We start from the raw sequence: 25,067 nt of genomic DNA, 5'->3' as shown, positions 1-25,067 counted from the left end.
ATGCCTAGTTTGTTGAGAGTTTTATCATAAAGCAATGCTGAATTTTATCAAATGCTTTTTCTGTGTTGATTGAAATGATCGTGTAGTTTTTGTATTTGATTATGTTTATGTGATGAATCACATTTATTGACTTGAGTATGTTGAACCATCCCTACATCCCTGGGATGACATATCTTTTCGATTTTCTGTTGGATTTAGTTTGCTAATATTTTATTCAGAATTTTTACATGTATGTTAATCAGGGATATGGGTCTGTAGTTTTCTTTTTTTGTTGTTATGTCCTTTCCTGGCTTTGGTATCAGGATGATACTGGCTTCATAGAATAATTTGGGGTGATTCCCTCTTCTCAATCTTTTGGAATAGTTTCAGTAGGACTGGTACCAATTTTTCTTTGAATGGCTGGTAGAATTCAGCTGTGAATCCACTGGCTCTGAGTTTTTTGTTGTTGTTTTTGTTGTTCTTGGCAATTTTTTTATTACTGATTCTATTTCACCACTTGTTATTGGTCTGTTCAGAATTTCTGTTTCTTCCTGATTCAAGCTAGGAGGGTTGTATGTTTCCAGATATTTATCTATTTCCTCTAGACATGTACATAGAGGTGTTCATAGCAATCTCGAATGATCTTTTCTATTTCTGTGGTGTTGGTTGTAATGTCTCTATTTTCATTTCAAATTGAGCTTAGTTGAATCTTCACTCTTCTTTTCTTGGTTAGTCTAGCTAATGATCTATCGATTTTGTTTATCTTTTCAAAGAACCAACTTTTTGTTTCATTGACCTTTTGTATGGATTTTTGGCTTCAAATTTCATTTAGTTCTACTCTGATCTTTGCTATTGATTTTCTTCTTCTAGCTTTGGGTTTCATTTTTTCTTGTTTCTCTAGTTCCTTGAAGTGTAACATTTGGTTGTCAATTTGCTACTTTCAGACTTTTTGATAAAACCATTTAGTGCTATAACTTTCTTCTTAGCACTGCTTCTGCTGTATCCCACAGATTTTGATGAATTGTGTCACATTATCATTCATTTAAAATAATTTTTTAATTTCCATCTTGATTTCATTGTTAACCCCAAAATTATTTAGGAGAAGATTGTTTAATTTCCATGTATTTGTATAGTTTTGAGGGTTCCTTTTTGGAATTGATTTCTAGTTTTTATTCCAATGTGGTCTGAGAAGATACGTGATATGATTTTGATGGTTTTTAATTTATTGAGACATGTTTTGTGGCCTACTATATGGTCTATCTTAGAGGATGTTCCATGCGCTGATGAGAAGAATGTATATTCTGTAGCTCTTGGGGAAAATGTTCTGTAAATATCTGTTAGGTCCATTTGTTCTAGAGTGCAATTTAAGTCCAGTGTCTTTGGTTGACTTTCTGTCTTGATGTTCTGTCTAGTGCTATCAGTGGAGTGTTGAAGTCCCCCACTATTATTGTGTTGCTGTTATCTCTTTTCTTGGGTCTAGTAACAATTGTTTTATGAATGTGGGAGCTCCAGAATTAGGTGCATATATATTTAAGATGGTAATATCTTCTTGTTGGATTGATCCTTTTATCATTATATAATGACCTTCTTTGTCTTTTTTTTACTGTTGTTGTTTAAAAGTCTCTTTTATCTGATATAAGAATGGTTACTCCTGCTTAGTTTTGATTTTCATTTGCATGGAATATCTTTTTCCACCCCTTTGCCTTGAGTCTATAAGAATCCTTATGTGTTATATGTATCCCTGGAAAACAGAAGATATTTGGTTTGTAATTTTTTTATCCATTATGCCAATCCATATCTTTTAAGTAGAGCATTTAGACCATTTACTTTCAGTGTTAATATTGAGATGTGAAGTACTGTCCTCACCATCATATTGATTGTTACCTAGTTACTTTGTTTTCTTCATGGTGTTATTGTTTTTTGTTTTTTGTTTTTTACTTTAAGTTCTGGGATACACATCCAGAGCATGCAGATTTGTTACATAGGTATACATGTCCCATGGTGGTTTGCTGCACCCATCAATCTGTCATCTACATTAGGTATTTGTCCTAATGCTATCCCTCCCTTAGATCCCCACCCACTGACAGGCCCTGGTGTGTGATGCTCCCCTCCCTGTGTCCATGTGTTGCCATTGTTCAACTCCCACTTAAGTGTGAGAACATGTGGTATTTGGTTTTCTGTTCCTGTGTTAGTTCACTGAAAATGATGGTTTCCAGCTTCATCCATGTCCCTGCAAAGTACATGAACTCATCACTTTTTATGGCTGCATAGTATTCCATGGGGTATATGTGCCACATTTTCTTTATCCAGTCTATCTTTGATGGCATTTGGGTTGATTCCAAGTCTTTGCTATTGTGAATAGTGCTGCAATAAACATACATGTGCATGTCTTTACAGTAGAATGATTTATAATCCTTTGGGTGTATACCCAGTAATGGGATTGTTAGGTCAAATGGTATTTTTGGTTCTAGATCCTTGAGGAATCGCTGCACTGTCTTCCACAATGGTTGAACTACTTTACACTCCCACCAACAGTGTAAGAGCATTCCTATTTCTCCACATCCTCTCCAGCATCTGTTGTTTCCTGACTTTTTAATGATCACCATTCTAACTGGCATGAGATGTTATATCATTGTGGTTTTGATTTGCATTTTTCTAATGAACAGTGATGAGTTTTTTTTCATATGTTTGTTGGCCACTTAAATGTCTTCTTTTGAGAAGTGTCTGTTCATATCCTTTGCCCACTTTTTGATGGGGTTGTTTGTTTTTTTCTTGTAAATTTCTTTAAGTTCCTTGTAGATTCTGGATATTAGCCCTTTATCAGATGGATAGATAGCAAAAATTTTCTCCCATTCTGTAGGTTGCCTGTTCACTCTGATGATATTTAATAAATGATGTTGGGAAAACTGGCTAGCCATATGCAGAAAACTGAAACTGGACCACTTCCTTACACCTTATACAAAAATTAACTCAAGATGGATTAAAGACTTAAACGTAAGTCCTAAAACCATAATAACCCTAGAAGAAAACCTAGGCAATACCATTTAGGACATAGGCATGGGCAAAGACTTCATGACTAAACCACCACAAGCAATGGCAACAAAAGCCAAAATTGACAACTTGGATCTAATTAAACTAAAGAGCTTCTGCACAGCAAAAAAAACTGTCATCAGCGTGAACAGGTGTTATTGTTTTATAGACCCTGTGAGTTTTATACTTTCAAAAGGTTCTATTCTGGTGCATATCAACCTTTTGTTTCAAGATTTAGAATTCCTTTTAGCATTGCTTTTAGGGCTGGCCTTGTAGTAACAAATTCCCTTAGCATTTGCTTGTCTAAAAAATATTGTATTTCTCCTTTATTTATAAAACATAATTTTGCTGGATACAAAACTCTTGGCTGACAGTTATTCTGTTTAAGGAGGCTAAAGATAGGACCCCAGTCCCTTCTAGCTTGTAAGGTTTCTGCGGAGAAGTCTGATAGGCTTTCCTTTATAGGTTACCTGATGCCTTTTTCTCCCTGCTCTTAAAAATATTTCCTTCCCATTAAATTTAGATAGGCTGATGACTATATGCCTTTGTAATGTCCTTTTTGCAATAAATCTCCCAGAAGTTCTTTGGATTTCTTGTATTTGGATGACTAAATCTCTAGCAAGGCCATGGAAGTTTTCTTCAATTATTTCTTCGAATAAATTTCCCAAACTTTTTGCATTTTCTTCTCCCTCAGGGACACCAGCCATTCTTAGGTTTAGCCATTTTACATAATCCCATATTTATTGTAGACTTTGTTCATTTCTTTGAATTTTTTTATTTATTTTTGCCTGATTAGGTTAATTTTAAAGCCTTGTCTTTTAAATTTTTTCTTCTACTTGGTTTAGTCTATTGTTAAAACATTCCACTGTGTTTTGTAATTCCACTGCATTTTGTAATTCTCTAAATATATTTTTCATTTCTGGAAGTTCCAACTGGTTTTTCCTTAAAATATCTACCTCTTTAGAAAATTTTTCACTCATATTATAAATTGATATTCTCATTTCTTTATATTGTTTTTCACCTTTCTCTTGTATCTCCCTGAGTAACTTAATAATCAACCTTTTCAATTCTTTATCTAGTATTTCAAAGAATTTTTTTTTTGAAATGGAGTCTCACTCTGTCACCCAGGCTAGAGTGCAGTGGTGTGATCTCAGCTGACTGCAACCCCTGCCTCCCAGGTTCAAGCAATCCTCCTTACTCAGCCTCTCGAGTAGCTAGGACTACAGGTGCAAGCCACCATACCCGGCTAATTTTTCTTTCTTTTTTTTTTTTTTTTTTTTTGGATTTTTAGTAGAAATGGAGTCTCACCATGTTGGCCAGGCTGGTGGTATTTCAAAGATTTCATCTTGGTTTGGATCCATTTCTGGAGAGTGGCTGTGATCTTTTGAAGTTGTTGTAGAATGCTGTTCTGTCACATTGCCAGAATTATTTTTCTGTTTTCTTCTCTTTTGGGTAGTCTATTTCTTCTAATTATTTTTTAATTTATTTCTGGCTCACTTTTTATTTGACTGTGTTTTTTGTTGTTGTTTGTTTCTTTTTTTCCCCTTGAGGATGTGACTTTAATGTTTATAAGTTATCATAACCTAATTTGGCTCTGAGTGCTTTCAGGGGTGAAGATTCTGTATGAGCTCCTTGGTTATAGAGACTCTTTATGTGATGGCTTCCTCAGATGCTAGTTACAGTAGCAATGTGCTTGGTGTGTGAGCAAATTTACTGTCTCCTGTGGAGTTGGAATGGCAGAGGTCTCTTGAAGCTTATCTCATTCCCCAGTGGTGTTCACTCAATTATTTCTTTCTTTATTTACCCAGTATTTTATTCACTGGGTCGAACAGTTCAGGCTTCAGGCCAGTAAGAGGTGGCCACAGGCAAAAACTGGCTGTGGCTAAAGCTGGTAGGTAAATGCAATAACCAATGGTGGGCGGAAGTACCAGCCTTCACAGAGGTGTCTAGGGGAGTGCTCAGTGAAACTCACTGAGGTCTTTTCAGGTGGAAGGGAGGGACCCACCTTAGATCCCCTCACAGGCCAGCAGGAAAGCAATCTGTCTCCCAGTCACATTCCTGACCCAGTGTTCTAGCTATTCAGATCAGACAGGCACCTCTTTTCTTTTTTTTTTTTTTTTTTCACTTTTAAGTTAAGGGGTAGATGTGCAGGATGTGCAGATTAGTTACATAGGTAAACACGTGTCAGGGGGGTTGGTTGTAAAGATTATTTCATCACCCAGGTATTAAGCCTAGTATCCGCCAGTTACTTTTCCTGCTTCTCTCCCTCCTCCCACCCTCTACCCTCTGAAAGGCCCCAATGCGTGTTGTTCCCCTCTGTGTGTCTCTGTGTTCTCATCATTTAGCTCACACTCATAAGTGAGAACAAGCAGTATTGGTTTCCTGTTCCTGCATTAGTTTGCTAAGGATAATGGCCTCCAGCTCCGTCCATGTCCCTGTAAAGGACATGATCTCATTGTTTTTATGACTGTGTACTATTCCATGTGTATATCTACCCACTTTCTTTATCCAGTCTATCACTGACAGGCACTTGGGCTGATCCCTGTCTTTGCTATTGTAAATAGTGCTGCAATAAACATATACATGCCTGTGTCTTTATAATAGAACAATTTATATTCCTTTGGGTATATACCCAGTAATGGGATTGCTGGATGAAATGGTAGTTCTGACTTTAGGTCTTTGAGAAGTTGCCATACTGTCTTCCACAATGGTTGAACTAATTTACACTCCCACCAAAATTGTGGAAGCGATCCTTTTTCTCCACAACCTCGCTAGCATCTGTTATTTTTGACTTTTTAGTAATAGCCATTCTGATTGGTGTGAAGTGGTATCTCATTGTGGTTTTGATTTGCATTTCTCTGATGATCAGTGATGTTGAGTTTTTATTCATATGATTGTTGGCAGCATGTATGTCTTCTTTTGAGAAGTGTGTGTTTATATCCTTTGCCTACTTTTTAATGGGGTGGGTTAGGGGTTTTTTGTAAATTTGTTTAAGTTCCTTACAGATACTGGATGTTAGACCTTCAGACAGACACGTCTTTTCAGCTGCAAGAATGTAGAGATGAATTGTGACTCTACCTCTCATACAAGCCTGAGCCTGGAGGGCACTTGTCCTGTGGGAATGCAGTCACCTGAAGGGTCCCAGAAAGGCTGTCTACAGGTGCACTCATGCCGAGTTCCTTTGTGAGAAACCCCAGCTGTGTCAGCAGTGGTGCATGAGGGGGAGAAGTCCTATTCTCCAAGACCCTTCACAAGCACCAGGGCTGCCTGACTGGTGAGGTAGAGCCACAGACTTCCCCACTGAGCCCAGCACTGCACCTGTCTCTCTGCTGAAAGAAATTTCCCACAATTGTAAAGTTCTGAGACTCAAAGCCTGCCATCTGGATTCCTTTGTCCCACAGGGTGCTCCCTTCATGTGGTGCACTCCTGCTTACCCTAGGAGTAGGAGTCCCTGAGTGCCAGACTACTATGATTGCTGCTGCGGCTCTGGATCTGGCCACCCAATGGGGCTGCTACATTCCAGGCCTGTGCTAGGGAATGTCTGCAAAGGGTCCAGCGATGTGACTTATCCTCAAGTCTCCCAGCAGTGGGTACCAGCACCAGCTCTGATGGGGCTGGCAGAGGAGTAAAGTAAACTCTGTGAGATTCTTTGGTTACAAATAGCCTTAGTGTGCTGGCTTTCTCTAATTTCAGTTGTAGTAGTAATGATCTGGTCATGTGAACAGACTCAAGACCTCCTGGTTAGCCAGGGTGATGCAGGCAATGGTGGTAGCTGTAGTCATGCAAAAGTTTTCTCCTTCCCAGTGCTGTGTTATTCTGCCTACAGATGTTGTAATGGACTATGTTGATTGGCCTATAGCCAGGAGGTGCAGTTGGTGCGAAAGAGCACTGACTGCAGTAGTAGTGGTGGAATTCATGCTTGGCTTATGTGACCAGGGGAGGTACTCTGGTGTCTCAAGCAATGGGCAGGTCCATAACACTCCCGAAAGTTTCTGTCCTTTGTGTTAAGCTACCAGGGTGGGTAAAAAGGCAAACCAGGTCGGGGCTGAGTCAGGCAAGTTCGCGCTCTGGCTATCCACGTGCAGGTGCAATCAGTGGCCCAGTGGGGATCAGAGGGCAGTTCTCTGGATGCTGGGATAATGTTCCAGGGAGGAGTGCAGTTGCCCCTGCCGCACAGAAGAGTCCACACAGGAAGTGGGGAGTACAGGTGGCAGTAAGCCCCACTCAGCCCCTATGCACTTGGCAAGACAGGTCTCAGACCCACAGTGTTCTACTGGCAGCGGCCATCTAGGTTGCAAGCAGGCTGCATTCAGCACTCAAAACTGTCCCAGACCATAAGCCTTCTCTGGCTGCCAAGACAAAAACTGCTCAGGCCATGCCCCTCCTGATCTGCTAGCGAAGCAGGGGCACCCAGCTCCTACACCTGTGGGCACAGCGCACTTCCCACTTGCCCCTCAGTTCTGGTCAAGGAGGTCCATCCCTGCTAGAGATTATATTGTGAATCTCAGTTGGGAGCTTCTCACTCCTCTCAGCCCATGGCCACCGCCTGAGCTAGTTGGCTGACTTCTGCATGGTCCTCTGTGAGGTAGGATCAGGAATGGCTTCCCTCTGTCCCCAGTAGAGTCTAGGAGTGCAAGCAAAGCACATCCTGAAGCTGCTCCTTCTCATATACTCCCCTCAGCTCATTAAATCAGCTCCAGCACTGGGTAGGGTTAAGGTCTTCCCCGTGGCCTGGATTGCCAGGTTCCCCAGTGGGAGTGCATATCCCAGAGGCAGTTTCTCTTCCTTTCACACTCTGAGGACTCAGAGTTTTCTGCCTGGCTCATGGTGTAAGCTGCAGTTTGCCACTTCTTTCAAAGGGTCTGTGGTTTCTTTCAATTTTCCTCTTAAGCTCCTGTGTTGCTTCCTGGAAAAAAAGTTCACAGCGTGAATCTCTACACACTATTTTGTCTTTCCAAATAAGAGAGGCATGCTAACAATGACTTTAATCTACCATCTTGGAAATGAAAACTATCACAGCACTATTCACAATAGCCAAGATATGAAATCATTTAAGTGACTATCAACAGATGAATGGCTAAAGAAAATGTAGTATACAGACACAATGGAGTACTATTCAGCCATGAAAAGAAGAAAATCCTGTCATTTGCAGCAACATGGATGGAACTGGAGGTCATTATGCTAAGTGAAATAATTCAGACACAGAAACATAAATACCACTTTCTAACTCATATATAGGAGCCAAAAAAAAAAATTGAGGTCATAGGCCGGGCGCGGTGGCTTAGGCCTGTAATCCCAGCACTTTGGGAGGCCGAGGCAGGCAGATCACCTGAGGTCAGGAGTTCAAAACCAGCCTCGCCAACATGATGAAACCCTGTCTCTATTAAAAATACAAAAATTAGCCGGGTGCGGTGGTGGGCACCTGTAATCCCAGCTACTCAGTAGGTTGAGGCAGGAGAATCGCTTGGACCCAGGAGGCAGAGGTTGCAGTGAGCTGAGATCATGCCACTGCACTCCAGCCTGGGTGACACAGTAAGACTCCATCTAAAAAAAAAAAAAAAATGAAGTCATAGAAGCAGAGAGTAGAATTGTGGAAGTAGAGAGTAGAATTATTAGAAGCTGGGAAAGGGATAGAGGAAGGGAAGGAGAGGTTGGCTAATGGATTCAAGTTACAGTTAGATAAGAGGAATGAGTTCTACTGCTCTATAGCACTGTAGAGTGAATATAGGTAACAATAATTTATAGTATATTTTCAAAGAACTAGAAGAGAGGATTTTGAAGGTTCCCAACACAAAAAAATAATAAATGTTTCAGGTGATGGATATGCTACTTATCCTGATTTTATCATTATACATTGTATATACGTATTTGAAATATCACTCTGTGTCCCATAAATATGTACAATTATTACATGTAAACTAAAAATACAAGGCAAAATTACAGCATATTTTGTTAAACCCATCAAAACTAAATTTAATCAATAATTTACCCTCCTTCCTGAAAATACAAGAAACTTAGGACTTTAAACCTCATTTATCATCTCCCAACATTTTTGTATTTTAATTCTACACTTTTTTTAAATGCCAATAGGAATTGTGATTATCATCCTATATAAAAAGTGTTCATTTTCCTTTAGCAGTTTCTAGTTACTAGACTAGTTTTGTTTTTTGTGTGTTGTACTCTAATTTATTCTGATTGTTCTTTCAGTTGATAATTCTCTTTTCTGTTCGTCTTCAATCTGCAAGAAAACATATTCATTTAGCGTTTAATTTTATTTCACTTTTTATTTTTGGAAGATCTATTTAGTTCTTTATCATATCTATTATGACACTTCATGTTGTCTTATTCCCTCCAATTATCTTCAAGTTTGTATGAAATATGTGCCAGGTAATTTCAAAATCTCAACCAGAATATCTTAATGATCTTGGCCACTTTCATAATAAGGGGAGAGTAGTTTACTTCACACCTTCTGAAAATACTCCTGAGATAAATGTACCAAGATCATGTTTGGAAAGGGAAATGAAGTGATCAAAACAAACAAAAATATACAACAACTAAACAGACAAACACATACACATATATATGAACATGCATATATATATCACACACATATACACATGTGTTGTCTGTTTGTAATTATATATAAAATAAATATAGACAATTATGTATATTTAAGTATGTCTATGTGTAAATACATATGTAAAGATAAGTAAAGATATATAAAGATATGTGTAAATAGATATGTAAAAATAGAGATATAGGTTTAGGTATACAGAATATAGATAAATATAGACATATGATTTCAAAAAGCTACCTTAACACATACATAATCCATTTGAAGAAAGGATTCTATAGTTAAAAACATTTTAAAACCTGTATTGTAGCCCATATCCTCTTTTGATAGGTGATGGTAAGAGGCCCAGAAATTGGCAATCGAATCCCAGATCAGATCTCTTCCAGCTGAGAGGCAAATGCTCACAGTTGCAAGAGGTCTTAAAAGATCTTATGTGCATGCTCATGATAACCTCCCAGTTGCCCTAAGATGTTTTCCAGCCACTGTTGCAACAACTCCCTGGAGAGAAAGTACACGGGCTCACCAGAACAGCCATTCCCAAGAGAACTCTAATTGTGAGGGCACTTTGCTTCGCTGAGTTGAAATTGCCAACTTAGAAGAAGCTTCCCCACTTCTAAGACTGATAGAGAGGAAAGTTTGCAGCTTTTCAGGCATGTAGTGTGTGTGTACACTTTTTGTAACCATGTGACCTGGGGCACATCACTTAATATCTCTGAGTCTTTCATTTTAAAATGTGATCAAGGTTAACTGCCATACAGCATGTACAGAATGCAATGAGATAACATATATAAACCCGCTTTTATACGCTTTGTAATACAGTAAGATAGGGATTCATATTAATGCCCTTTCTGTCCCTCTTCCTTGATTTCTCCTTCACCAGAGTCATGCTCAAAACAACTAATTCTGCTACCAAATGAGAACCTCAGATTATTAGAAGCTAGCTATGAGGTGCCTATGCCCCAGCTCACCTTTCCCCAACATGAGTCAGCTGGAAGTCCATTCCACAGTAAAGATGCTCTCCTCTGGGATACACAGTGGAGCACAGGGTAGACGCCATCTTTGGACAAGACTTTCTTCCCCTGTGAGGACTGAGCCAAAAGTGAAATTTCTGGAGAGAAAGAGGCTAAGCCAAAGGACACAAGCTAATCCCACAAGCTAATCCCACTAATTCCAGTCTCCCTTATTTCCTCAGGAGTTTTAGAGTACCACTTATGAACAGCGTGCAGGTACTTAAGATTCTCATAGCCTCACAGCCAGTCTTAGCATATGATGCCAAGAGGGGCTAGATATCAAACTCCTCAAAGCCTCATGGTTGGAGCTCAATGCCTTGGTTAATTAAGCATCGTTCAGCAACAGCCTCAATCTTTCAGGCTTAGAAATCTGAGACAAGATAACATTAAAAAAGTCTAGTTTTGCAATCATATATTGGAAGTTCTGGCAAATGATTCAGCATAGAGAATACAAAGAGAATACCACAATCAGTCACCCTGCCACAGTTCTGGTAAAATGCTCTGAGAGGCCCCGTAGGTTTCTACAATACTTGATTTCCCTTTGGCAGACTTTGAATTGCTGGCCGGAATGATCCAGATCTTCTGCTGTTTTCAGGTATGTTTCTCATATTGTTTTTGAGTTTCTAATCAGAAACAGAAAAACCAGAAAGCAGAGTGTGTCCACAAGTAGATGTCATACCACGTCTGGGGAACAGAGAGGGGATATAACATAAGAATGCTTAAGCATGAATTTGTTTCCAAACACAATAACTTATTATTATACTTGCCCTGAACTTTGAGATAGAGAGAAAAAGAGAAAGACCCACCAACTTTGCAATCATATGCTAAAGGTTCTAGCGAATGATTCTGCAGCATTCTTTTTATCTACACTAAACCAAACCCTTTGCCATATCCCATGCAGACATGGTAAAAAAAAAAAAAATGCACAGCATGAGACTGTAAACAAGATACTTAAGAGAGAGTCCATCACTCCAGAACATTAGTATGTGAACTTCAGACTCTGTGGAAACAAGATGCTTTGGGAAAGGGCAGTGGCCTTGGTGGGCAAAGATCCTGGGAATGTAAAAACCCCCAGGTTATGGGGATGTGGGGTGGATCTTGAGAATGACCCAAGGTCACATTGAAGGTGACATCACAGCCCAGAACATTGATGCCTTTCAACTTGCTCCAACCCGGAAGTGCAGTCCATGCCAATTTACTTTTCTGAGTCTGTATTGTCACACTTGCTCCCGGTTTGGTGGAGGTGGGCGCACTGTTCTCACTCAAACCTACTTCTACTCCCCCTTCTTCTGTAGGCCTCTTTTCATCCACACCAGACATTTACCCACTCCAGAGTCTTACTGGATTGTCCCCAACCCAACATCCAGACTTGTTCTTCTCCATCCTTTTTTCATTTGTGATGGTGGCTGGGCAATGATAAGAATAGGCAATAAGGGAAAATTAAAGGTTGTTCTAGTAGATACTCAAACTCCAGAAAAATAATAGATGTATGTCTGTCCTAGAAACACTTTTCTCTTCCCATCTCTGCCCTCTTCCCAATCCTTACTACCACAGAAGCAAAATGGAAGTACCACATTCTCCACTCTAATATGTTACCTAAGTTCTTCTTTGCTGACAGATTTTTTATCTCAAATTATTTTTGATTTTATGTACATATCCCAGGAATTCTGACTAGCATCCTATCCTAATAGGAATACAGAGATAACTTTTAACTGAGACAAGAATTTCTTCTCTACAGGTCAAGTGTGGTGGCTCATACCTGTAATCCCAGTACTTTAAGAGGCCAAAGTGTGTAGATCACTTGAGGCCAGGAGTTCAAGACCAGTCTGGGCAACATGGTGAAATCCTGCCTCCACTAAAAGTACAAAAATTCGTTGGGCATGGTGGTACACACCTGTAATCCCAGCTACTCCGGAGGCTGAGGCACGAGAATCACTTGAGCCCAGGGAGCGGAGGTTGCAGTGAGCCAAGATCGGACCAATGCACTCCAGCCTGGGTGACAGAGCAAGATGCCGTCTCAAAAAACAAAACAAAACAAAAAAACAGATTTTCTTCTCTACAACATAGCTGAGTCTCATGGTCAAATGAAATCTAGGGCCAACTTCTGGCTCCTTATGCCTGTAAGTTCTGACTTTGCCATGACTTAAGAGAATGATCAAGCTCAGGGAAATCAGGTCACAACATCAGAATCAAATGTCATGTATGAGTGTGGGAATGTCATGTCATTGTGCTGTTCTCATTTACCTGTAAGGATTGGCCTTGGCCACTTCGAAAAGGGACTAGCTGTGGTTCAGTGAAAGGCTAATACCCAAGAGTATTTCCCTTCATGGGCAAGGCATGACATTCTTCTACAGATTAAGAACAGCAGGGAAATAAGGAATAAAAGGGAAGAGCGTGTGTAATATGAATAAACTTTTCCATCACCATATGGTAGCCACTGAGGTACCTCTCTCTTCTAACAGAATCAGAATCTAACATCAGAGATATAGACAAAAGACTTTTATTCTTCAGCACCTCCTTAATTTTTCTCCCCAAGTCCCTGAAAAATATAGGAGATGGTGAAGTTTGTAGAAGACTTATATTACTAAAATTAGAAATAAAAGTGGAGACATTACTACCAACCTTAGAGAAATTAAAAGGACTATAAAAAGAATACTATCTACATTTGTACACCAACAAATTAGGTAGTCTAGATGAAATGGACAAATTACTAGAAACACAGAAACTACCAAAACAGACTCAAGAAGAAATAGAAAATCCAACCAGATGCTCACTTCATCACTGCTATTCAATATTGCACTGGAATTCCTAAACAGAGCAATTAGGTAAGAAAATGAAAGAAAAGGTATCCAATTATGAAGGAAGAAGTAAAACTATTTCTATTTGCAGATGACATGACTGTATACAAAGAAAATCCCAAATAATCCACACAAAAACTAGTAGAGTTAATAAGCAAATTCAACAAATTTCAGGGTACAAAATCAGTTGTGTTTCTATACACAAACCCACAATGAACAATAAAAAAAGGAAACTAAGAAAACAATTTCCTTTATAATAACATCCCAAAGAATAAAATACATGGGACTAAATTTAACCAAGGAAGTGAAAGAATTGTACACTAAAAACCACAAATAATTGCTGATTAAATGGAAAGATGTCCCATGTTCACGGATAGGGATACTTAATATTGTTAAATGGCAATACTTCCCAAAGCAATCTATAGATTCAATGCAATCTCTGTCAAAATTTCAAATGGTCTTCTTTGCTGAAATGGAAAAGCCAATCCTAAAATTCATATGTAATTCCATAGGATCCAAAAAAGCAAAACCAATATTGAAATAGAAAAACAAAGTTGGAGTACTTACACTTCTCAATTTCAAAACTTACAAGCTACAGTAATTAAAACAGCATGGCAAAGGCATAAGGATAGACATATGGATCAATGGAATAGATTCAGAGTCCAGAAATAAACACAACATTTATGGCCATTTGATTTTTGATAAGGATTGTCAAGGGGGTCTTGAACATTCAGTGGGGAAAGAATAATATCTTCAACAAGTGGTGCTGGAACAATTGGATAGCCATGTGCAAAATACTCTAGTAGACTCCTACCTTATGTCACATACAATAATTAATTTAAAATAAATCAATCCTAAATATAAGGGCCAAAACCATAAAACTCTTAGAAGAAAACAGGCGTAATCTTCATGGTTTCTGATTTGTCAATGGATTCTTAAATTTGACACCAAAAGCACAAGCAACAAAAGATAAAATTGATACATTTGAATGCATAAAATTTTTTTAATTTGCACATGGAATGACAATATCAAGAAAATGAAAAGACAATCTGCAGAATGGGAGAAAATATTTACAAGCCACATATCTGATAAGGGCTGAGTATCCAGAATATATAACAAACTCTTCCAACTCAACAATGAAAACAAAAACAACGCAATTTTAAGAATGGGCAAAGGACTTGAATCAACATTTCTCCAAAGAAGATATGCGAATAACCAGCAAACACATGAAGTGATGCTCAACATCATTACTCATAAAGGAAATGTGAATCAAAACCATATGACATACTACTTTACACCCATTAGGATGAAGATAATAATTTTAAAATAACAAGTGTCAGCAAGGATGCAGAGAAATAGGAACTTTCCTATGTTGCTGATAAGCAATGCAAAAGGGTACAACCACTGTGGAAAACAGTTTGGTGGTTCCTTAAAAAATTAAAAATAGGATTATTGTATAACTCAGAAATTCCAAAAGTATATATATTTGGTATATATCCAAAAGAACTGAAAACATATTGTTCATGCAGAAATTTGTACACAAATGCTTATTATTGCTGCATTAGCTACAATAGCCAAAAGATGAAAACAACCCAAATGTCCATTGACAGATGAACAAATAACTTGTGGTATAAACATACAATGGGAATATTATTTTTCCATTAAAAAGAACGAATACTGGCATGTGCTACAGCTTGTATGAATCTCAGAAACATTATTACAAGTGAATGTAGCCAGCCACAACAGGTCATGTATTGTGTGATTCCGTTTATATGAAATATCCAGAGGTGGTGGTTGCAGATTTTGAATGTGCTAAATGTCACTGAATTGAATACTTTAAAATGGTTAATTGTATGTTATGTGAATTTTACCTCAATTTTTTAAATGGGTCATAAACTTATGTTTAGCATAATCCCCTTTTAATTTTAAAAAATGCAGATATTACATGAGAAAAAATGTGCTAGAGCATATTTCAAGACATTAAAGATGGTTATCAGTGAATGATGAGAAATTAGGTAATGTTTATTATTTTCGCTTTGCTAAAATTATTTAAAAATTACTTGCATATTAAATTTTTTAATGCCTAGGAAAGAAAGACTATAGTTGTATTGACTAAGATTTCTACGAGCATGGGGAAAATGCTTAATTTGTAGGGTTAATCAAGGATAAAATAAATTGCATTGTATGTACAATGTGATCCCAAGTATTTAAAACACACTGCTTATGGTAACAGTCAGTCTGTGGGAGACAGGTTAAAAAGTGATATTTTCCCTTCCTACTTTCCAAATTTTCTTAACAAACATATATTATGACTATAATCAGAAAAAATTATTTTTAAAACGTCTACTATGGGGCAAGCTAGGTTCAAAAAATAGAAGTTTGATAAATGTAGTTGGCTTGCTATTGACAAGGAAGACGTTTACACTGGAATTCTATATTTTGAGATATACCATTCCTCATAGAAAAATTTCCTCACAGAAAATATAAAGGTGGAAACAAATCACAAGAATCGAACCATGTAGAGAGACTTAGTTGTCTTTTAACAGAATTGGGCACGGGCTGTTCAGAAACAACAATCTTTCACATCCATTATAATGATAGCATTAGTGTAGTTTGTTTAGCAAATGTTTACTGTGAGCCTGTTATGTGCTGAGCCTGCTATGTAAGAAGTGTGGCTCTCTGGACAGGAGACAGAATACTAAACAACACAACTACTGATCTTTGGCTGCCTGGCATGCTTCCTCACTTCATATGGTATCAGCAATTTAGCACCACAAACGTCCTTTAGAGAACCAGCCCTTTCTCATTCTTGGTTCTAGTGGCTTGAGTAGACTGACCCCAGCCTACCCAAAGTGGATTTGACTCCTAGCAATTCATTAATCTAGCCCAATAAAATGTCAAGTACAGGACTTTTATTGAAAGCATTCAGAAAAGAGGTGGACTCTCACACTAAACATTTGTAACTAAATAAGGGATGTTAGAAATTCTCTAGAAAGGAAGCTATGATAATAAATGGGTTGCTAGATGGGTCTAGTAGATGGTGGCCATGCTTTGTTACTGCCTTGTGTATTGTGCTACCATAGCCCTCCCCAAACTGTACTCTGGCTCCTGGCATTTCCGTCTCTTCAACCAGATGGTCAGCTCTCTAAGTGAAGGAGACACATCTCCAACATGCTTGGTTCTAGCACAACAGAAGGGCTCAAACACATACCTGCTAAAGAAACTATCCTGATGGATTTAGCAGCATGGCCATGAGGCATTGGCGGTTCTATCACTGGGAACTCAGGTTTCTGGTGCTCCAGTACCTCTACTGGCTGATACCACATCCTACAATTCACTTCATAGGCTTGGGTTCCTGCTCTGGGCTGAATAGGTGGTCCACTCTGAGTCATCAGCTGTGGGTGATGATGTGGTCACTGCATGATTCTCACACAAGCACCCAGAGGACGTCATCAGGCAGAGGCAGTGGGGGTGGGCAGCATTTACAGAAAATCTGTGATGAGACACCACAAAACCAGAGGGGAACATGAAGTCACTGAGCCTGCTCCACCTCTTTCCTCTCCCAAGAGCTAAAAGAGAGCAAGGAGGAAACAACAGCAGCTCCAACCAGGGCAGCCTTCCTGAGAAGATGCAACCAATCCTGCTTCTGCTGGCCTTCCTCCTGCTGCCCAGGGCAGATGCAGGTGAGTGACCGTCTCCACCCTCGGGGGCCCAACCCCATCCCACAGGTCTCCTGCCCTTTCTCCACATTCCTGATCCATCTATCTACCAGGAATGTTCTGAACTCCAGCTCCCATTCTACCAAGACCCCCCAAGTGTGATGCTGGATAAGCTATCAGCAGGAATGGCAGAGCAGCAGGCCATTCTCAAGAAGAGCCAGTGGGTACTATCCCTTCCCCAGAGCCCACCTTTGTCACCTGGAGAGTAGGACTTTCCTAGAAGTAAATGGCAGAGGATGGGAAACTAGAAAAGAGAAATATTAAATTATTCTAGAGTAGGCCTGGCTTCTGTTTCTGGGATAAGACAGGTGCTTCTCTCACTGTCTACTTAGGAGAGAAACCCAGAGCTCAGCTGACAGCAGAATTGGTACAATCACTGTCCTCAGAACACTGTTAATGTGTTTGCTCAGTCCCATTCTCCAACTCTGCTTTTCTTCCCTGGCCTTTGGTGGCTCCCCTCTTTCCAAGGATGAGGCACTACGGCAGGCCCCAGCTTCCCTGCTTTCTAGAATTCCACCAGCACTGCTCTACCAGCCCTCATCCAGAGGCTAACTGGAGCCAGTCCATCATGCAGCCATGAACATTTACTGGGCACCCACTACATGTCAGGCTCTAGGAAACAGGATATGACAGTATCTAGATCCCTCCACTTACACCCTGGCCATTAGAAAGCAGCACTATCCTAGACACCACAGGACTCATAAGGGTCTTGGAAACTCACCTGAAACAAAGCAAAGTCAGGAGAGGAATGATCAGGAGCCTCTGGGATTTCACTGTCCCTAAGACAGGTATGCTCGCCTTCAACTACATATGGAAGAAAGATTTACAGACCAAAGTCTGCTGTTCTTCCCTTTTTCAGAGCAGGAAATTGAAGCCCCTTCCTCCAGGCCACTCCCAACTCCAGGCTATCCCAGGCTCCCAAATGCCCAGGAGTTCTGGAGCCACTAAGCAGGTGCCCACCCAGCAGATTCCATGGGTGCCCACAAGCAGACAGACTTTTCCTTCAGGGGAGATCATCGGGGGACATGAGGCCAAGCCCCACTCCCGCCCCTACATGGCTTATCTTATGATCTGGGATCAGAAGTCTCTGAAGAGGTGCGGTGGCTTCCTGATACGAGACGACTTCGTGCTGACAGCTGCTCACTGTTGGGGAAGGTGAGGAGCAGAAAACAGCCCACACCCTCCTGGAAACACTCCACAGAGACCCCTGCCTTCTTCCCAAGGAGCTCCCTGGGCTCCTGTGAACACACATGCCAGGAGGTCTCCTTAGAGGGTGAGAAAAGGGCAGTTAAGTTTGTGGAGAGAGGGGAAGGTTGGTTCCAGAGGTGCTGCTGAAGTAAGAAACAGCAGAGTGACCAAGCCTGCCATATTTAGAACTGGGGGCATACTTTGGCATAGAATACAAACTGAAGCAATTCCACCTGTGTTTCTAGGGGGAACCGAACCCTGAGAAACCTGGTGCAATTACCAGAATTCCAATTCCTGGGGACCGACTGTCCCCTTAATTTCCCCTCAGCTGCAGCCCTGCCCCAGCTGTCACCTGCTCTTCACTGTCTCTGGGCTGTATACCCTGTGACTCCACCCCCATCCTCACTCTGCTCTCTGTGCAGCTCCATAAATGTCACCTTGGGGGCCCACAATATCAAAGAACAGGAGCCGACCCAGCAGTTTATCCCTGTGAAAAGACCCATCCCCCATCCAGCCTATAATCCTAAGAACTTCTCCAACGACATCATGCTACTGCAGGTGAGGCACACTCCTGCCACTCTTGCTCTTCTTGGTCCAGTTGGTTCCACTCCCCCTGGAATGCCGGCCCTTCCCTCCTTTCCATCCTGGCCTCTTGGTTAGTTCCTATGCCTCAGAGGAGAGGGAAGATTGTGCAGCCCCATCACTGTGTCGGGGCCCAGAAGTTCGTTGGCTGACCTGGACTTTCTTGCCTCTTCCCCACCAGCTGGAGAGAAAGGCCAAGCGGACCAGAGCTGTGCAGCCCCTCAGGCTACCTAGCAACAAGGCCCAGGTGAAGCCAGGGCAGACATGCAGTGTGGCCGGCTGGGGGCAGACGGCCCCCCTGGGAAAACACTCACACACACTACAAGAGGTGAAGATGACAGTGCAGGAAGATCGAAAGTGCGAATCTGACTTACGCCATTATTACGACAGTACCATTGAGTTGTGCGTGGGGGACCCAGAGATTAAAAAGACTTCCTTTAAGGTAAGACTATGCACCTGCCTGGATTGGCTCTTGGGAGAAAGATGTTTGGGGAATATCTGAGACCTGGAGACTCAAGTAGTGGGGGACTCCTTCACCCACTAGACTGTGATATTTCTCTCTGGAAAGAGAAGAGGGGACTAGACTGAGCTGGGGAGAAATTAGGGCCTCTGCAAACTTACCAGGAGGCTTATGGTGGATGGTGCTTCTTTGGAAGGATGAATTTGCAACACTCCACCCACTCCAGGTCACAGATATTAGGAAACTGTGCCCACTGGGGGTGCAGTAATTATAACCAGGTGTGTCTTCAGAGGCTGGTACCCAACGTGGTTAATGGGCTGGTCCTCCATGGTGGACATCAGCCCTCCTTGCCCACTTCTGGGTCCTTAAACAGCCAACGGTCCCACATACCTCCGATCTCAGGATCTGGGGGACATGACGGAGGCTGGCCCCTGGGATGAGGTGAAGCAGTAACAATGTCCAGGGCCAGAGCTTGGCAGCTGGGGGCCACCAGCGGCCTGCCCTGCCCTCTGGTCTCCCACATGTAGGCTGTGCAAGTTGGCCTTTTCTAAAAGGGGGCTTGAGATGGAAGAGAGGGCAGGACCCGGAGGAGCATCAGCTCAGTCCTTCCACTCTCTATTCACAGGGGGACTCTGGAGGCCCTCTTGTGTGTAACAAGGTGGCCCAGGGCATTGTCTCCTATGGACGAAACAATGGCATGCCTCCACGAGCCTGCACCAAAGTCTCAAGCTTTGTACACTGGATAAAGAAAACCATGAAACGCTACTAACTACAGGAAGCAAACTAAGCCCCCGCTGTAATGAAACACCTTCTCTGGAGCCAAGTCCAGATTTACACTGGGAGAGGTGCCAGCAACTGAATAAATACCTCTTAGCTGAGTGGAAAAGCTGGTTTCTTGTTTATTCATTGACCCTCATTCTCAGGCACCACATCTGCGCTATGCAGGCCAATGACACAATTTTGCTGTTTTCTGCTTTCTCCTCTCCCCTCACCCCTTGCCACCTCCCCAAACCCCCACATGAAGCTGATACTCAGCTCCTTCCTATCCACACCAGTTTCTCCAGGGCCTGCCCTTCTGCCAAGGCTGAAGCTGAGCACCATCAGGAGACAACATGGACCACTTTGGTCCTGGGGCTTTGGGTAAACTTCTTACCTCCTTCTCCAGTGTTACATGACAGAGAAAAAAGGGATAATACCATGGGACCTAACTCCTCATCCCCCACTGGGGCTCCTCATTCTCCCCTGGGCTTAGTTTCTCTACCCTCCTCTGAGCTCAAGGCTCAGCTCGTCCTCCAGCCTCTTGGCTGCCCCTTCTCTTCATCCCTGCTGAGTGTTCTCAGAATCCACCAACTCTTGTCCTCTCCAGACCACACTGATCTGATCTGGCCCCTCCCTCATATCTACCCACCTAAGATACCCAGAGACCCATGTGGTTCCATAAGGGCCTTGCCACTGAGACGCCAGCCCATCTCATGCCCTGGCAGAGAGGGGCCTCAGAAAAACCAGGCCTGTGTGGCAACCAGGTAAGACCCATGGAGGACAAGGCTGGCACGGTCTCTCTCCAACCCTTGGCTCCATCTCTCCCCTAGGTAGGGCCAGCTCAACCCCTCCCATCCAGCCCAGTGTCCTCCCATACACTCAAGGTTCACTGCCCACCTGGGCAGTCAGCAGGCTGAGCCCCTTTAAACCTGTTCCTCTTGGTCACTGCTGGCCTCTAGGCTAAGATTCCCTGCTAGCCACCTGGGCTACATCAGCCCTTTGAGTTCAAAAGGACTCCTTTCTGCAGAAGGACTAGAAAGCACAATCTTTTCTATCAATCAACAAACAAATACTCATTGAGCACTTACTATGTACCAGGCATAGAGGATAGTAAGAGAACACAATAACAGACTCTATCATCTGAACCCAAGTGAAACTGACAATGTTGAGAATTTTCATCCAAATTGTTTCACTCACTTTCTGTCCTTCAGATTAGTTCACAAGAGCGAGATGTATATGGAAATCCATGGGATTAAAGTATTTGTATCTTATTTTTATTTCTGGTTTTTCTGAGGCCCCTCCCTGCCAGGGCATGAGGTGGGCTGGCATCTCAGTGGCAAGGCCCTTATGGAACCACGTGGGTCTCTGGGTATCGTAGGTTGGAAGATATGAGAAAGAGGCCAGATATTCACACAGTTTGTATAAGTATTGTCACGTGCGACCCCAGAACAGCAATGTATGGGATTTGAAAACAACTTTAATCATTTACTTTCTAGACATGAAGTTGTCAAACTGTTCAATGGAGCGTCATCTTCACCTAGGGGGAAGAGTAGCAGGGCAGGAAGAAGACAACTAGGGCAGGCTTATTTTCATTTGTTTAAAAAGTAGCAAGGATGAATGTCATTATAAAGATTCAAATTGTAGGAAAAACACCCATTTGATTGGACCACTCAGAAGCATAATCCCTGTCATTATACAGGCTCCTGCCTGTACAGAATGAAACTAGAATCAGGAAGGCTCACGCAGGCTGGAAAAATGGAACAATGCCTCGAATGTTTAGGCCACTGATTACTGCTACATTCATAGTTTCCAGAACTACCTGGACTTGTGAATGTTAGGAAGTTCTTGGCTTGGAGGCCACCGATAGAGTATATGACATATTGTTGAATAAGGGTTGCCCAGTGTTAAGCTCACCCTGCCAAACACTCCCAGCAACCACCTCTCCAAGGTCTTGCCACTAATATGGAGTACTGCCTGGGAGTTGAACATAAGTACTAGCTCTAGATTAATGCTTCCCTGTCTCAAATATACACAGCTACACTCTTGTGGCATGGAGTAAAATCTCCCTCTAGGATCATGTAACTGTCAAAGTTGCGCCCTTTCTCATCTCAGTGTGCACAAAGCATGCTGCAACACAATCCTTTTTTTTTTTTTTTTTTTTTGAGACAGAGTTTCACTCTTATCGGCCAGGCTGGGGTGCAATGGTGCAATCTCAGCTCACTGCAACCTCTGCCCCCTGGGTTCAAGCGATTCTCCTGCCTCAGCCTCCTGAGTAGCTGGGATTACAGGTGTGCGCCATCACACCCGACTAATTTTTGTATTTTTAGTAGAGACAGGGTTTTAACATGTTGGCCAGGCTGTTCTTGAACTTCTGACCTCAAGTGATCCACCTCGACCTCCCAAAGTGCTGAGATTACAGGTGTGAGCCACCACACCCGGCCGCAACTCAATCTCTTAATAATCTTGGGCACTTTTATAAAATAAGTGGGTGTCACACAGCTTCTGATTTGGAGCTGGAAAAAAAATCCCTGCACCTAAGACATACTAATGACTTGGTTCCTTCATTGGAAAAGGAAAACACAGGCAGCAAAACAAAATAATAGTATTTTTTAAAGTTGCCTGGTCACATTCATAATCAGTTTAGGTATGATACTTACTTTGGGGAAATGGTTCTGTGGTTTAAAACAGGCTTGAAAATCATTGTTGTAGGACTTTATCCACTTCTGAGCAAGAAGAAAGAAACAAAGTTTCAGGAAAGGGTAGTGACTGACTGAAAATATCACAGAAGTTAGGACAGAGCCTGAACAGAGCCCATGCCCCCTGACAACCAGGCCAGAAAGTAGCTTTAAAAGTCTTCTAATGCTCACCCCAAGATGACTTTCTGGAATCTCCAGACAAGAATTAAGTTTATGCTCAGACGCCTCCCTGGAAAGAAAGACTTTGGGCTTCTCCAGCAGCTATTTAGTGAGAAGTATTCAAAGCACTTCCCTTTGGTAAGCTGAAATCTGTCCACAGGTGCATTTGGGTGGACTCAGAGGCAGGTAAGTACTTTAAACATGCTGACTGCTTCAAATCTCCTTGGTCTGTGGAAGTTTCCCCCCCAACCCCTACCATATGAAGAAATAATCCTTCCCTTGCTTAAAATCTCTCTAGTGTCCCTACTGACTCTAGGAAAGGAAATGCCTCAGCCCACTGAGATCTACTCCCACCATCCCTCTTTTCCTCCAGGGCCACAGGAAGAATCAGGTCCCAGCACAGTCAGGAAGAGAACTGCCAAGTGGGCTCATGGAGGAGATAGACCCCAAAGAAAGCAAAATCTTGCTAAGTTGTTTCTGGGAATATGTATTGGTGTGACTGCCTTCCCAGCCCACCACCATGCTTCTCCCAGTACCACTCTTTGTGAACTTACACAGCTTATAGGGTTTACTTCTTATCTTGGTAACCCACACAACATTGCTTTTGACCAACTAACATATGTCACCATGGCAGCAATGTGTTTATGGACCATAACACTTAGAAGTAGCTGACCTGAGAGAATTGCAGAATAGCGTACTGAAGACTGAAAATAATGACAGCTGAGAAACAGCTACCGGCAAGATTGGGATGCTGTGCTACAGGATGTAGCATATGCTTTTTTTTTTTTTTTTTTTTTTTTGAGATGGAGTCTCGCTCTGTCGCCCAGGCTGGAGTGCAGTGGCGCAATCTCGACTCACCGCAAGCTCCGCCTTCCGGGTTCACACCATTCTCCTGCCTTGGCGTCCTGAGTAGCTGGGACTATAGGCGCCCATCACCACACCTAGCTAATTTTTTTTTTTTTGTATTTTTAGTAGAAACGGGGTTTCACTGTGTTAACCAGGATGGTCTCAATCTCCTGACCTTGTAATCCACCCGCCTCGGCCTCCCAAGGTGCTGGGAGGATGTAGCATATGCTTTTAAGCAATAATAAATATACAATGTTGGTTCTTTCATAGCTAGAATACATTGTTTTGGAAACAGGGAATGTTTCCAAACATTCCTTGCCCCTCTGATTAGGAGTTACACCATAATCTTGAGCTTTACTGGTCTAGAGGTCTCAATTCCTGAGAAAGAAGTCAACAGTCAGATAAGTAGGTTACTTTAGTAGCTGGGTGATTAATCCTGATTGCCATGGGAAGATGGGATTCACTGAGATACCTCCTAATATTTCCATGACCATTAGTGAAGGTCATTGGAGGACTACTGTAGCCCAAAAGATAAGACTACTAAGACCCTTTAAAAGGAAATTTTGAGGCACTACAACAGATAAAGAATCATACCAGATAGGCTTCTTGAGATAAAGTCTTCTGCACAGCTTCTCAGAGATGGTATAACACCCACCCGCATAATGACTTCCCAGCCTCCTTGGCCAAGAGCCCTTCCAACCTCTACTCAGATACCTCCTTAGAGAGAGATCCTGAGGTCATCAGACTCACATGCCATGACAGCTGAGCTGAGATCTGCCTACCTGTGACCATCACTATTTACAAGACGAGACAGTGGAAAACTTGCATTTGGATACAAGTGTGTACTGAGGGATCCCATTCTCCTTGATGTACTAATTTTTCTTTAAAAGTGATAATAATAGCTCCCATTTAGAATTTTTAAATAACACAACAAATGTAAAGTAACTAATGTGTCCTCTGGATCATGGTAAGTAATGAATAAATTTAACTCCCTTTACCTTCTCCCTTTGCTATTTTTTCCATGCTAGGATTTATACATTTTTAAAAAACTAAATCTGCTATCAAATGACAGCTTTAAATTTACTTTTTAAAATTTGTTATTGTATATATTTATGGGGTATAAAGTGATGTTATGATATATATATACACAATGTACACTGATTAAATCAAGCCAATTAACATTTTATCATCTCAAATACTTAACATTTTTTGTAGTGAGAACATTTGAAATTTACTTTTAGCAATTTCAAAACATACATTATTATTA

At 41.5% G+C, this 25,067-nt stretch overlaps 1 protein-coding gene and 1 long non-coding RNA gene across 6 annotated transcripts, besides 2 other annotated features; one reads left to right on the top strand and one right to left on the bottom strand.

Annotated features, from left to right (window-relative positions):
* Positions 1-5,599: 5,599 nt before the first annotated feature.
* On the bottom strand, positions 5,600-18,078 carry GZMH-AS1 (GZMH and GMZB antisense RNA 1). Of its 3 annotated transcripts, XR_007064088.1 has the most exons (5): positions 12,488-12,585; positions 11,935-11,999; positions 11,057-11,277; positions 10,552-10,671; positions 5,600-7,915 (listed from the first exon to the last, which is right to left on the bottom strand). It is a non-coding gene; the product is annotated as a GZMH and GMZB antisense RNA 1 (long non-coding RNA). The 3 variants fall into 3 exon arrangements; XR_001750667.2 differs by having other exon boundaries at positions 10,552-11,277; positions 12,488-12,609; XR_007064087.1 differs by adding an exon at positions 17,832-18,078 and having other exon boundaries at positions 10,552-16,884.
* Positions 11,098-12,297: an enhancer, noted in NCBI's record as "BRD4-independent group 4 enhancer chr14:25108089-25109288 (GRCh37/hg19 assembly coordinates)". NCBI's record gives its function as "activates an origin of replication core promoter dependent on BRD2, P300/CBP, MED14 and CDK7 cofactors, and independent of BRD4, by STARR-seq in HCT116 cells {active_cell/tissue: HCT116}" and the evidence as "EXISTENCE:reporter gene assay evidence [ECO:0000049][PMID:35650434]".
* Positions 16,412-17,611: an enhancer, noted in NCBI's record as "CDK7 strongly-dependent group 2 enhancer chr14:25102775-25103974 (GRCh37/hg19 assembly coordinates)". NCBI's record gives its function as "activates an origin of replication core promoter dependent on BRD2, BRD4, P300/CBP, MED14 and CDK7 cofactors, with strong dependence on CDK7, by STARR-seq in HCT116 cells {active_cell/tissue: HCT116}" and the evidence as "EXISTENCE:reporter gene assay evidence [ECO:0000049][PMID:35650434]".
* Positions 16,990-20,226, top strand: GZMB (granzyme B). 3 transcript variants are annotated; one of them, NM_004131.6, is made up of 5 exons: positions 16,990-17,074; positions 18,118-18,265; positions 18,721-18,856; positions 19,062-19,322; positions 19,966-20,226. In NM_004131.6, the coding sequence occupies exons 1-5, from the start codon at positions 17,020-17,022 to the stop codon at positions 20,107-20,109; spliced, it is 744 nt and encodes a 247-aa protein (NP_004122.2). In that variant the 5' UTR covers positions 16,990-17,019; the 3' UTR covers positions 20,110-20,226. The 3 variants fall into 3 exon arrangements, 2 of the variants coding, with proteins under 2 accessions (NP_004122.2, NP_001332940.1); NM_001346011.2 differs by having other exon boundaries at positions 18,105-18,265; NR_144343.2 differs by lacking the exon at positions 18,721-18,856.

Source organism: Homo sapiens, chromosome 14, assembly GCF_000001405.40.
Source record: "Homo sapiens chromosome 14, GRCh38.p14 Primary Assembly".
Lineage (NCBI taxonomy): Eukaryota > Metazoa > Chordata > Mammalia > Primates > Hominidae > Homo > Homo sapiens.
The sequence above is the reverse complement of the archived record's forward strand: the minus strand, read 5'-3'. Positions and strand labels throughout refer to the sequence as shown.

Excerpts from the sequence above, each read along its gene's own strand:
- GZMB (NM_004131.6), top strand. The coding sequence starts at position 17,020 with ATGCAACCAATCCTGCTTCTGCTGGCCTTCCTCCTGCTGCCCAGGGCA. Across the intron at positions 18,266-18,720 it reads GCTGCTCACTGTTGGGGAAG|CTCCATAAATGTCACCTTGG; the intron begins GTGAGGAGCAGA and ends CTCTCTGTGCAG. Across the intron at positions 18,857-19,061 it reads ACGACATCATGCTACTGCAG|CTGGAGAGAAAGGCCAAGCG; the intron begins GTGAGGCACACT and ends CTTCCCCACCAG.